This window comes from Homo sapiens, chromosome 9 (assembly GCF_000001405.40).
Source record: "Homo sapiens chromosome 9, GRCh38.p14 Primary Assembly".
Lineage (NCBI taxonomy): Eukaryota > Metazoa > Chordata > Mammalia > Primates > Hominidae > Homo > Homo sapiens.
The window spans coordinates 16,665,373-16,679,489 of record NC_000009.12 but is presented as its reverse complement, the minus strand read 5'-3'; the positions used below and the strand labels follow the sequence as shown (position 1 = coordinate 16,679,489).

The 14,117-nt window shown below is 37.5% G+C and overlaps 1 protein-coding gene across 33 annotated transcripts in view; it reads left to right on the top strand.

The window, feature by feature from the left end:
* The window catches only part of BNC2 (basonuclin zinc finger protein 2), a 461,168-nt gene that overhangs the window by 191,181 nt on the left and 255,870 nt on the right, over window positions 1-14,117 (top strand). The window lies entirely within an intron of this gene.

Here is a 14,117-nt window from a genome sequence, read left to right as displayed (position 1 = left end):
TGCCATGCACATGTGTCTAGCAGCCTGTGTGCAGTTAAAAGAAATTGAATTATATTAGCTCATGAGTAGAAGTGAAACAGATACTGTAAATGAAACAAGTTGCTGTATAGCGATGACATCGTGTTGAACCATTTCACAGAGTTACAGTTTGTAGGATCACTGTATCAAAAGTGGTATATTATTTAATGAATTTTTATATTATAAAACATTCCTACGGTATGGAGTATAGTAAGGACCAGTGGTTTATGGGTAGGTAGAGAGGATGTGTAGGTGGATGGGCAGAAAGAAGCAAGCCACCAGGTAAAGGTGCAGTGAGGTGGGTGGGAGGTGTTTTGCCAGGCTGAATTGAGGCACAGTGTAGCTTTCTATAGAGTCTGGCTGTGATTGCAATATTAGGTGCCCTCGCTCTGTGTACATAGTGCAGCTTGGAGGACAGTTTCTCTCTGATGACCAGATACGAATGTTCCTGTGAGAGCCTCTGACACTTTGGGCCCATCCATGTTGTTTTCTTGCTATTAAAAACAACTATCTTGGGCGATAGAAGGTTACTCCTCAAGCAAGGGAACATATTTATAAGGCTTTGCACAATCAGTGAACACTGATTTCGATTGTAATTTTCAGGCACTACCGAAGGAGACATCTCCAGTTTCTTTACAAAGGAAAAACTGTTGGGTTTGGAATGTCAGGACAACTCTGAGTTTTTGTGCACTAAATGGATCAATGGTGTGTAGGTTCCAAAGTATATTTGTAAAATAAAAGCCATTCCTTTACACACAAGTGAAGCTTTCAAAGTTGAACTTTTATGTAAAAACAATCATGGAAATTTGAAAAAAAAAAAAAAGAGACTGTTACTGTTTAGGTACAGAAAGAATTTTAAAAAAATTACTGGAGAGGTAGGTAATACCTCTGTCAGAAAACAGATACATGGCCAGGCGCGGTGGCTCACGCCTGTAATCCCAGCACTTTGGGAGGTGGGCGGATTGCCTGAGTCAGGAGCTCAAGAGCAGCCTGGGCAACATGGTGAAACCCTGTCTCTAATAAAAAAATACAGAAAATTAGCTGGGCATGGTGGCGTGTGCCTGTAATCCCAGCTATTTGGAGGCTGAGGCACGAGAATTGGGAGGCAGAGGCTGCAGTGAGCCGAGATTGCACCACTGCACTCCAGCCTGGGCGACAGAGCAAGACTCTGTCTCAAAAAAAAAAAAAAAAAAAAAAAAAAAAAGAAAAAGAAAGAAAACAGTTACAAGTTATGGTCTGGAACTTCGGCAAATTTGGACAAGAGTTGTTTTGCTAAAAATATTTTATCTCCCTTCACCCCTTCGTCCCTCCCTTACCTTACTGCCTTTCTTATTCACTGTCACCTGCTGCCTTTTTTCTTCCTCCTCTCTCTCCATTTTCTCTTTTCCTTTCCATTATTCTCTCTTTTTATTTTGCATCCTCTCATTTTTGTTACAATTGATTCTCATCCTCTACCGTCACAGAAAGTGAACTGCAATTCCATTTTCATTTATAATGTTGGTTTTCCTGCTACTAGTTAAAAGATTTATATCTATAATTACTTAGTTTGTAAAATTATAAAATTTAGGTTACATTTTTACATAAAGTTGTGTGACCATTGGCGAATTTTTTGAAAGAAAGCAATTGAACCTTGATTAAGCTTTTTAAAAGGAATGCAGAATACTCATTGAGTTATCCTCTTCCCTGGACCAGAATGAAATTGTTATTAGTGAAAGCCAGCTAGAAGTTTGCAGCTCTGGGTTACCCTCTCCCTTCTTAACTCCGGACACAGGAGGAAGACATTCAGGTTGAAACACTTGTGTTTCCCCTAACTTGAGACGTGTTTGAAGTTGAATAGAATGACCAGTAGTCAGGATATTGCTACTGTGTGTGTGTGTGTGTGTGTGTGTGTGTTTGTTTGAGACAAAGTCTAGCTTTGTCCCCCGGGCTGGAGTGCAGTGGCGCGATCTTGGCTCACTGCAACCTCCACCTCCGAGGTCCAAGCAATTCTCCTGCCTCAGCCTCCCGAGTAGCTGGGACTACGGGCATTCACCACCATGTCCAGTTAATTTTTGTATGTTTAGTAGAGATGGAGTTTCACCATGTTGGCTGGGCTGGTCTCGAACTCTTGATCTCAAGTAATCTGCCAGCCTCAGCCACCCAAAGTGCTGGGATTACAGGTGTGAGGCACCATGCCTGGCCATGTGTGTTTTTATCTTTAAATTTTATTTTAATTGATGGATAGTATAGAAAGATGAGTTCTTCAGCCTATCTCTTGACACTGTCGGACAGATTGAAGGAGATTGTGCCTGTGTATTAGCTTTTGGCTAATAGTGAATGCATTGTTGTTACTGTGTAAATTACTTTTACTAGCTTGTGGTGGCCAAGCACATAAAAATTAGACAGAATTTTTTTCTGAAATTTTCACATATCTTGAAAAATTAAATATTATTTACCTAAAAACAGTTTTATAATTTTTCCCTAAAATAAGGAATCTAAAGAACACAGAAAATTTTGGAACAAGATAACTATGTTTTTCTTTTTATCTTTCTTAATTCGCCTTCTGTAATACATCTGTTTCTCAAAACAAATAAGAAAATGATAATATCTTCAACAGTGACTTGTGCTTTCTTTCAGAAGTGTGTTAGTGAATATTTACAGGGAAAAAAACAGTTCATGAACTTGCTTTTTTTTTCTCCTCCCTTGTTCTCACTTGGGTGTGGTGTGAACTGGATGCCCCTACATATTTTCGAGACCTTCTTTATTCCGCTGCTGCGGTTAACTTAGCATCTGCTTAGGCAGCATTAAATTTGTGAATTCCTGTGTCTCAGGTTCTATATGTCAGATACATTGTGGATTAAGTAAACTTTGGTTGAATGGCCTGAGAACTTAACTACATTTCTGCATTCTCTCTCAATACCAATATTTCTGTGAGAGAATGTTACCTAGATTTTGGACAACCAACTTAACATACACTGTTCATGTTGGCAACTGCCAGTATTAATGTAAGAAGTATTAAATAAGATGCTTATGTTTATGTATGTTCCTAAGCCATAGCAGCTTCATAGAAGAAGGAAAACATAGAGAAAAACAAAATGTTTTAATTCTTGGCTTAAATAGAATTACGCGTTTGTGTTTGGGTGTGTGCCTATGCATGGATTTTGTATGTACATACACACATGTCATATATATGTATATATCCATATTTTTATATAAGAATAGCTAGTGATGTTCTGTTCAAATATTTTGTTGGAGTTAGTCATAATTAATAATTTAAGAGCACACATTCCCTCCTACATGTACACAAAAGAAAAAGAAAAATTCTTTTGTTTGAGTAGATAATGGAATCTCAATTTGTGTTTTCAATTCTTTAGGATCAGTATTTTTTCATGTTTTCGAAATTAAAAGCTGGAATTGATTGATTGATTGAGACAGAGTCTCGCTTTGTCACCCAGGCTGGAGCGCAGTGGTGAAATCTTGGCTCACTGCAATCTCTGCCTCCCGGGTTCAAGAGATTCTCCTGCCTCAGCCTCCTGAGTAGCTGGGATTACAGGCGTGCACCACCACACCCAGCTAATTTTTGTATTTTAAAATACAAAATTTCACATGGGTAGCTGAGATTCACCATGTTGGCCAGGCTGGTCTCAAACTCCTGACCTCAAGTGATCGATCTGCCTCGGCTTCCCTTGTGAGCCACCGAGCCCGGCCAAAGCTGGAAATTACTTAAGTTATGTAACCTAATATCTTTACAGATTTGGAAACTAAGGTAGAGAACTTTTAAGACTTAACCAAAATCACGTAGTTAGTAACACATTCTTCATTGCTGATGTGTCAGAGTCTTTAAGATACAATTTACTAGGTTTTATTCCTTTAGAGTTTAACAAGTATTATATAGCAGTATTCTAAATTTTTTCTTTTCTTCGAAAATTAGGCCAGGCACAGTGGCTCATGCCTTTAATCCCAGCATTTTGGAAGGTGGGCGAGGTGGGCCTATCACTTGAGCCCAGGAGTTCAAGACCAGTGTGGGCAACATGGCAAAAGGCTGGTTCTACTAAAAATAAAAATACAAAAATTAGCTGGGTGTGGTGACATGTGCTTGTAGTCCCAGCTATTCTGAAGGCTGAGGCGGGAGCATCACTTGAGCCCGGAGGCAGAGGTTGTGGTGAGTCGATATCACATTACGACAGCACCACTGAACTCCAGCCTGGGTGACACAGTGAGACTTAAAAAAAAAAAAATTAACTCAATTTAGTCCTTGTTTTGTATAATCCAAGTGGACTTAAATAAAGGATGTAAATATCAGTTAGACCTCAGGAAAGGTGAGGGAAAGGTGAAGAAGAATGCAAGGAGGCTACATTTTTAGGCATTGTAGTAGTTGTCTTGGCAGGTTTCCCTGTGAAAATAGCAGATCTTCCTGCACTGTGTGTGAAATGTGCTAGCTTGATGCTAAGAAATGGAATATTTGGGTCTTGCTTTTATTTTTTCCCTTCTACTTTTCTAGTGTCAGTTAGTTTAGAATTTGGGTGTTGCTCAAATGCCGATTCTTAAACTTTAAGAATCGGAAATATTCCCATCTAATAATCTGTTTCAAAACTGCCATTATAGACAACTGAACAGTGGAATTGCCCAAGAACATAAAAGTGTAAATCTCTACTGTTCATTGAGTGCCAGTGGAGAGCTTCAAGGAGCATATACGCAGACCAAGTCCCCTTGAAATCAATGTTATATAAACCATCTTTAAGTGCCTTCTTGGGTATGGTACTATGTTTACATCTTATAAGAAGTGAGCTGAATAGATAGGGTCGTTGCCCTCTAGGAGTTTATAATCAAAAACAGATGATATAGCTGATATCTGTTATTGTCTTAAAGTCCTACAAATAAACATCGATTAGATCCATAAATAAAAGTTTGATATCAAAGACAAGTAAAAACCTTTTTGCTTGCCTGATTAAATAAGTAAACACACATCTTCTTCCCTACACTGAGACTATCCATGCGAGTTGTAAAATGACTAAACTAAAATAATCATGACACCAGGATACTCCTTTAGATTGTTATTTTTTTTAGGGGTTTTAAAAGAGTGCTGACATTAATATGATGTCACTGATGGTGTATTGTAAGTGGGTCTGGATTCAGGGATGTTTTTGTCTTTCTGGCTAGGAAATTGGGATGAGATTAATTTTCCTCCATCTCTGGAATTTCTTTATTTCTAACTATTCAATGGTAGTACTTGCTGTTGTAAACCAGCATTCTAGAGGACAGTTTAAAAATTTTATCCAGACCCTCACTGTGATTAGAAATCATATGTTTTTAAAATTAGCTGTCCCCTAAGCCTCTGGGAACTGCACTAAAACAAAGATGAGGATATGAAATTGATGCTGTAATGAGATGAACTTATATATCTAAAAGGCTTTGAGTGGAATATTAGTCCGAAAAGGCAGGTTCAGAACTTTGGAATGAACAGTTCTAGTTGTACGTTTGAGTAAAGCTATAACAACTAAAATTAAATGTAAAATGTTGGCAAGAGAGATAGGTATTGAGTTTGATAAAATATTTTCTTTCTGCATGCTTCAATTTTAGTGCAAGGTATTATAACAGTCACTTCATTTTTTAAGTGTAGGGGAACTAAAACAGCAACGCTGGGGAGACTAAACATGAACCCGTCTCAGAGTTCAACACATTAAAAAAATGGCTGTCCCTACTGCAGTGTAGGTGTCTGGCTGTGTAAATTAAAGCATGTGGATGCAGAAATTAATTAGAACAGTCAAAGATATAAATCAAACTTATTTGGTACACTGATGAAATGATCATTGTTTATGAGATTATCTTGTTATTTAATCTATTCTGTATAAACCTGGCTGGTTAGCCTTGTGAAGTAATAATACAATTAATGTGATGTGATGATGGTATACTTTTTCTCGGTACAGGCCTGATCCTGCAGATCTTTCTTGACTGGGACTTGTGTATATAGAAGACCATAAGAACTGGAAATTTTAATTAGCAAGAATGCCTCCACCTCTCAGTTGTATGTGTGTGTGTGTGTGTGTGTTTTTTTTTTTTTTAAATCTCAGAATGTTCCCTGGGAGTTTATTCTTTTTGAATCATTCATCTACTCACCCTAGAAGAATGAAGTGCTTTCAGATGTTATTTCCTCAAAACTGTGCAAAGTTTATTATAAGAGCTACCTGCTGTCTTCCAGCTATACTGTGCTATGCTACTGGGTCTCAAATAAAGAGAAAGTTTTACTTATAAATGAAACCATTAGGAATTTCTTGAATAAACAAAGGTTTTTCTCCCTTTGATATGCAGAGGAATTTTGTTTGTAATTATAGTCATATAAGTCTATGTCTAATACATGCAAGCATCATTCATTATCTTTTATATGAGAATGCACTCCTGTCACCTAAAGAGCAGAAAACAGATACACTAAGACAAAACAAAATAAAAAACCCCCCCAAAACTAAACAGGGATTCCAGCTCGTAGGAAAATTGTCAGCGTCATTATTTACTATTTGATTCAGGATTTTTGCTTCGTGTTGTTTACCCTGCTTTCTTTCCTTGTCTCTATTCCTTTGACTCCGTGAAGTTGGTTTCTTTATGTCCCCAAATGAGAACTTTGTTTTTGGAAAGTTAAAGATGTAGATTTTATTTACCTTGCTCTTAGATTGCTTCACTACTCCATGGTGTTCTCTTACTCTTTAGCAGAATTTGGCGACAGTGTCCAATAAAGTAACTAATAAATTGTAGGAAAAAAATGTCACATGTAATCTCTCTTGTAAAACCTTTTATGAATGGAGCCTGATGGCTGGAGTTTGTTGTTCCTACTTAATCTCATAAAGAGAATGGATTTAGAACAATGTTCTTTTAGGATTATGCATAGGGTGATTATGAGTGTGATACGATAAAATCGTAATTATGATTTCATTTTGTCCTGAACAGTTAGGATTTTTTGCTCTGGATTGGTCTATAGTTGATGTTAAACATTTTCTTTTTTTTTGAGATGGATCTTGCTCTGTCGCCCAGGCTGGAGTGCAGTGGCACGATCTCTGCTCACTGCAAACTCTGCCTCCCGGGTTCACGCCATTCTCCTGCCTCAGCCTCCTGAGTAGCTGGGGCTACAGGTGCCCGCCACCATGCCCAGCTAATTTTTTGTATTTTTAGTAGAGACGGGGTTTCACCGTGTTAGCCAGGACCGTCTGGATCTCCTGACCTCGTGATCCGCCCGCCTCGGCCTCCCAAAGTGCTGGGATTACAGGCATGAGCCACCGCGTCCGGCCAATGTTAAACATTTTCAATTTGACATGTCAGATATTTGGATGTATTATTTTAAAGATCTTTTGTCTCATCTTCATAGGAGTGCCCCAGATCTCCCTGTTTCACCTGTGATTATCTGTGATGCCATAGCAACACCCCTTGCTGTTAGCAGAGTATGTATTATTTCTGTGGTTTTGTGAATCAGTAACCACTAAAAGATTTGTGACCAATCACCCATGAATGATTTGTTCAGAGTTTGCTTAATGAGAGAAACTGTGGCATAAGACAACCTTACAATGTATGTACAGGTATATTTTCACTGTTACACTTGGCTCTGTTCTAGATTATGCAACTTGCATTTTCAGTCATTGTTGAGCTATGTAGATATATTTGGTGGAGTTTGGGTCTGTTTTCTGTAAGCCTTTCAGAACAGTACTTGTCAAACCAGTGTTAAAACCAGGATCTGCTGACTGGAGTTCAGGCATATGGTGAAACAAGATGCCTTCTGGGTTAAAGAGGTGACTAACGGTGGGCCAACTGCTCTCCTTTACTTGCCAACCAGAGCCTGCTTCTCAAATCTCATGGGAGGCAGGCTTCAATGAGCTGAGTAAACAGTATGAGCTGTATGTCCAGTTTCTATTTTGGAAGTGATGCATAGGACCAGAGCTGATGAGAAACTCTGGGATATAGTCTAATTTTCTGTCAAACAGAACCCCTCGTGGTAAAGGTAAAGGCTGATGTTGGGGTAAAGGCACTGTACAGAGATTGTCTCCTGAGTTTGGCTTTTCCATGGGCTGCCTGTTCTTTTGGATGTGAAAGGCTAGATGTGTTCTCCAGCCTTTCTGCACTTCCCTAGCTCTTTTCTTTTTACCACTTATCCTTTCCTTTTTCCTGTGAGTTATTTCATTGCTTCACCTTTTCGTTCATTTTGATGCAATCACATATTATTTTATCCATACATTTTAGGATGTCTTTTAGGAGGAGCCGATGTGATGTGGGCCCTTATGTAAACAGTTGAGAGAGTGACTTGCATGAAGGCATTTTGTTTAGGGAGGATCCTAGAGTAGAAATGAAGGACCAGGGAAAACCAACACAAAGATGAATTACTGAGATGATCAGTGCCACAACTGATGGGTTCTCATTCTCTCTGAGGCCTTCTGAGGAAATATTTAACCATTGGCTCTCATTTCCCTTGATCCGTATGGCCGTCTGAGCATGAACTTCCCACACTTTTTGGCTTGTGCATGTGCGTCTTCAGGTTGTCAGGAAGCATGACTCAGGTGGGGCAAGCTCAGGGGAAGGTGCTAATTAGCGATCAGTGGGGGAAGTTGGTTCATGCGGCTAGAATAAGAGACGTGACAGAGAGGATTTTTAAGTAGTCCAAGGAACCCATACATTGTTTTTGGTTTTGGTCTAAAAGCATAGAGAGCTCTGGAGTATTTGCTGTTCTGAATTTCTCTTTTCTTGCATTTATTGTAGTGTACTTCTCAGGTGAGTTCACGTATACCTTTACCATCACTTTGTTACTTGAAGGGATTGTTTGCATTTCCTTCAATAATTTTATCTTACCTCTTGGAACATTGGTCATTCACCATTAGGACCAGAATGATCTAGAATAGGTAACGCATTTCCCTTTTATTAACACAAGTCTACTGCTTTATCCACACTAAAGCATAAAACAGTTATATCCTATGTCCTTGATTTTGGAGTGGGAGAAAGTTGTCAGCTATTCAGCCACTCTTAATATTCTTCTTAAATTGGCTGGATACAGTGGCTCATGCTTGTAATCCCAGCACTTTGGGAGGCAGAGGTGGGAAGATGACTTGAGCCCAGAAGTTCAAGGGAACAGTGAACTATGATCGCGCCCTGAATTCCAGCCTGGGTGACAGAGTGAGACCTTGTCTCTAATATATTTTATTTATGTTTATATTCTATATGTATATTCTAAATAGAGGTATTTAGCAGAATTCTGCCACAGGGTAATTTGGCTCTTTCAGATGTTCAAAAGTAGACCCAAATCTTTACTGGCATTTTCCAATGGTCCTAGGAACCCGAATAGGTATAGTTAATGCTTCTATTAAACCATGACATATGATAGATCAGTGAAGATTTAGAGAAGAGTGTAAGGAAAAACTAAAAATAGTACCCAGTGGGATTGAAACATTATGCATGCTTTCAGTACTTATTTGATAGAAGAATCTGTTTCAGAAACCAACTTCTAACAAAAGCAGTTGAATTACACAATTATTATATGTTTTTAAATTGTAGTTACATATTTTTATTGGAGTCATGGTCCACAAATTATAAGGTTAACTATTATCATGTATCATGCAGAGGAGATGAAACCACATCAAAGTTTCCTACCGTCCACTCTAAGCTGCAGTTCAAGTTTCTAACACGTTTTTGCTTCTTATAAGTGGATGAGCTGATCTTCATTTCTTTTTCCGTGGTATCTGATTTCTTTCTGGTTGTTTCTGTTTAAAGAAATATGTACTGCTTATAGGAATGATAATTTAAGCAGTTAGAGAAGAAGTAGTTCTCTATTTGTGCAGGTAGATGGAAGGAACACCTTGCCAATGCATAACATAGTATCTCACATACTTTAATTCCCTCAATAAGTTATTGTATTTTAAAGGTAAAAGACCAGGACAGAGAAACAACAGAGGGCCTGATTCTACTAAGAATTTATAACTGTTATAAGATCCTCAACCAATTGGAAGTTGCTGTCTAGTGAGATGTGCATCTCATTTGCTATTTTGCTCCAATTCACAATAGCCAGTACTGTTTCAATAAAGGAAAAATTTAGTTTACTCTGCTAGAACTTTCTCTTGATCTGAGGGAGTTGGATAGTTGGATTATTTGAGGTTAACATACCTTAGCACCTTTAGGGCAAAATGTAACCTGGGGGTGTGATAGAATATTCCATCTAGAGGATAAGGAGTTTTAGATTATAAGGAAAATTACTCCCTTAGTGGGCTCTTCAGGAACAATTTTTTATCTTGTGGTTGGTCACTTTCAATATATGGCAGTTGCTTTCCATTATATTCTCAGGCTCCAATCAATACGTACAATATTATGCAACTTATAGTTACATTATAACCAAAATATGTCAAATGTGGTTTCTGAGTGGCTGATTTACAGTAAGTCTTCCTCAGTCCCCAAAGTGGGTATTATGACTAATTTAAACTTTCATACACCAAAGCAATTTTTTTCATATGAAAATCGTGTGTCTTGAGGGGGGTGGGGTCTGTAGAGACAGAAGGAACAGTAAAGCACTGCGTCAACTTACTCACATACAGATTGATCCATTGTCATCTCCTTTGCATCTCATGGATTGTTGTGAATTATTTGCTCACCCTGGGAGAGACGTGCTCTGAATTATAATAATTTAAAATCTGTGAATCTATTAAAACCGTATTTGTAGCTCTAAAAAAATTGATATTCACTGGGCAGTTTGCCCAACAAGAGAAAGTCAAAGAGATTACACACTTACCCTAGGTAACAGCAACCACCCTGCCAATTCTTCCTTTGAAAGAATACAGCAGACCCAAATTATACATCTGTGGATAAGGGGAGACAAGAAAAGAACTCAATATATCAAAATCAGAAAGTAAATTCCACAATAATGGCTACAATAATGTTTCAAGATGGTATTTTAGCATAGGCCTAGTCATTGAACTAATCATAGCTTAGAGGGGTTTAAAATTGTTTAAAGTACATCCTGACGTTGTTAAGTATGTTTACCACTCTCACTTGAAATCAGAATATTCACTCATGTATGGTATACCCTGAGATCATATCGGAGAATGACAATGACTGCATTGTTTGGTGGAAAAAGTGAGGCCCAGAGTGTCACAATGGTTTTCTGATTTCTCATCTAAAGGTCTTTTCATAGGATACTTAATTAACACATCGAGCTCCCGCGGTATGCCAGGGGCTGGCAGTGTAAAGATGCATAAGAAGAAGCTAGGTGCAGTGGTTTGTGACTATAGTCTCAGCTGCTCAGGAGGCTGAGGCAGGAGGATCTCTTCCAGACTAGCCTGGGCAACACAGTGAGGTCTCCCAGTGAGGTCTCCTTCCTTTAGAAGAAAAACAAGGTGCATAAAAATAAGCTGGTCTTTCCATGGGAGCTTCGCTAAATGTGATCTTCCCGAAGGACAGGTTTAGTCCTGTTCATCTTTCAGGTCTCAGCACTTACCATTGCGTCTGGCACTTAGTAGGAACGTACCTAATAATTGCTTGATGTGATAAATGCCAATCTTTGTGCCATGGAATCACAGAGGACAGGAAAACCAAGGAAGAATTTAAAAAGGGGATGGAGTTTTAGTTGAGTTCTTGAATAGTGTTTTGGGGTGCAAATAGAGTGGAGAATAGGTAAGCCCACCTAAAAGATGCTCTCCTTGAGGGCAAGAATAAAGTTGTGTTGATCTTTGTATATCCTTGTATCCAGCATAGTGCCCCATACATAGTAGGTCCTCAAAACATATGCTATATTTTTTTCTGTATATAAACTTGAACTATACCTTTCTTAACTTTCATATTACAAATGTGGTAAATGTTTTGGTTTCAAAACATTTCTTGTTTGATTATATCTAAATAATTTATGCTAGAAAGAAAATGCTGTCAAAAGGCTATCTCATTTAATTTAATTATGTCAAGAAGAAGTTGAAAGTATTATTTGCTCAGATAATCCTCACTTTCTGATAATTGGAAATCGACTTTCTTGGACTGTTAAGGATGACCACCTCAAATTACTACATTTGGCACTAAGTGGAGAGTCCCACTGTTAATTTTCAATTAACTACAATGTTGATTATCTTGTCAGTAACAATGCTTTAGTTGTTTTTACCACCTAATCTCAGTTGAGGAGATCATGGAACTAACAAGAGCTTGATTGTGGATTTTATTCTTGTATAGGCCGGTTAAATTTGCAAAAGGAAAAACTCCTTGAATAAACATAGACAGCACTCCAAATTTTGGTTAGCTGTTAAATAAATGGATGCTATTATTACAAAAGAGGACTTGGCTAAAGAAGGTAGATCATCACATCTCATTACCATTTGGATAAACAACCAAAACATGTATTCTAGTGACAGTACTTTTATAACATCGGCGTGTGTGCGTGTGTGCGTGTGTGTGTGTGTGTGTGTGTGTGTGTATGTGTATCTGAGTGATGTGTGCTTTTCTGAAATTAGTATTTAGCTTTTTAGTGGAAATAGGAAGCCTACAGTGTTCTTTATTGGTTTTAAATTTTTTCAGAGTGTAATATCACTCTGGTACTAGTTCATAACTATTTGAATTTATCTGTGAATTTTTTAACTGTAGACTGAAGCAGAAAAAAAATCAAAATATGTCAGGCAAACAAAATGTTCAGGTTGAATAATGCTAACTACATTTAAGTGAATTAGCACTTCCTCAAAACATGAAAAATTTGTTAAGAATATATTGCTTCAAAACGTGTGTGCATCTGGCTTTGTATAGATTAGTGTAGACTACATTTCAGATGGGCGGCAAAACAGATATATTTGCTGTTTAGATACCATGTTTAAACTAGGAAAACAGGTCTGCTGGATGTGTGTTGAAGTGTTTAGCTCCAGAATCACCCAGTGAGTCTCAGTAATGAAAGCTGACCTGTGGTTTCTTGAAAGATGTTTTTACTTAATTGCCAAGATAGCTTAGATGTTGTTTACTGTGTTGTCAGTTGCATTGTAGCATTTAGAGAATTGATAGTGTTGGTCGGTAACCTTTCTGTGCGTGTGTTTTTAAGCTGTTGTTTCTCTCTTTTAATGAAGCACGTTAAATATCTTTAATGCCACCTACCTGCTTTATTGGAGGATTCATGATGTTGAGAAAAACCAAATAAAATTTCTATATAGAGTTATAGGAGAGAACATTTGCAGCGGACATAGCAGAGATCAAGGGAATGCCAACATTACCAGAGTGAAGAAAACAGAGAACTGAAGATGAGACCAAAATCAGATAGATAGAGATGCCCTCTGGCAAACTATAGCTCTGGAGGAAAGTATGTTAGAAGGTAGCTCTTCATAGAAAAAAAAATGTATTTTATGGGAAAAATATTCTAAAAAACCCACATGATCTCCTATTTATTGAAATATGAATTCAAATTTTATACAAGAAATAACTCATTGAAAGTAGTTGTCAATGAAGTAGTTATTAAAATTACTGTGTTTTAACAAATAAATATCTGCATTGAAATGGCACAAGGAAAAAAATGGGGATAATTTACCAGATAAAATTTTAAAGATAGTTTCTTTAATATTTTTAATCCTGGAAGTCCTTATTGCAAGTATGACTGAAAAACTAATCATGGAAATATGTGTTTTTTTCAATTAGTTACAGATGATTTACTAGGAGAGGTTCAACAGGTAGGAAGTATTTGTTTACAGATCGTTTAGGATTATAATTTTTAAGAAATGAAATGCCTACTTAGTAAGGATCATGTTTGTAATGATACTAACTCCAGAGTGCCTAGATCCGTGCAGTTCCAGGGCTTGGTTTCAGAGGAAATAAATTTTGTTCTGATTAGAAAATTAACTTGCATTATGCATTTTCATATCTCTGAATCAGTCTTGACTATAAATTCATGATGCTAGTCAAATATTAAACACACTTTCATGCTTAGTAGCATAAAATAGTGTCAAATGGTAAAATAAGATGGTAAGAACTGCTCAACCTCAAAGAATTTACAGGTCTAGTTTAGGAAATTTGCTGTGATTTCTCTCTCTCTCTTTCTTTCTTTCTTTCTTTCTTTCTTTCTTTCTTTCTTTCTTTCTTTCTTTCTTTTCTTTCCTTTCTTTCCTTTCTTTTCTCTCTTTCTCTCTCTCTCTCTCTTTTTTTTTTTTTTT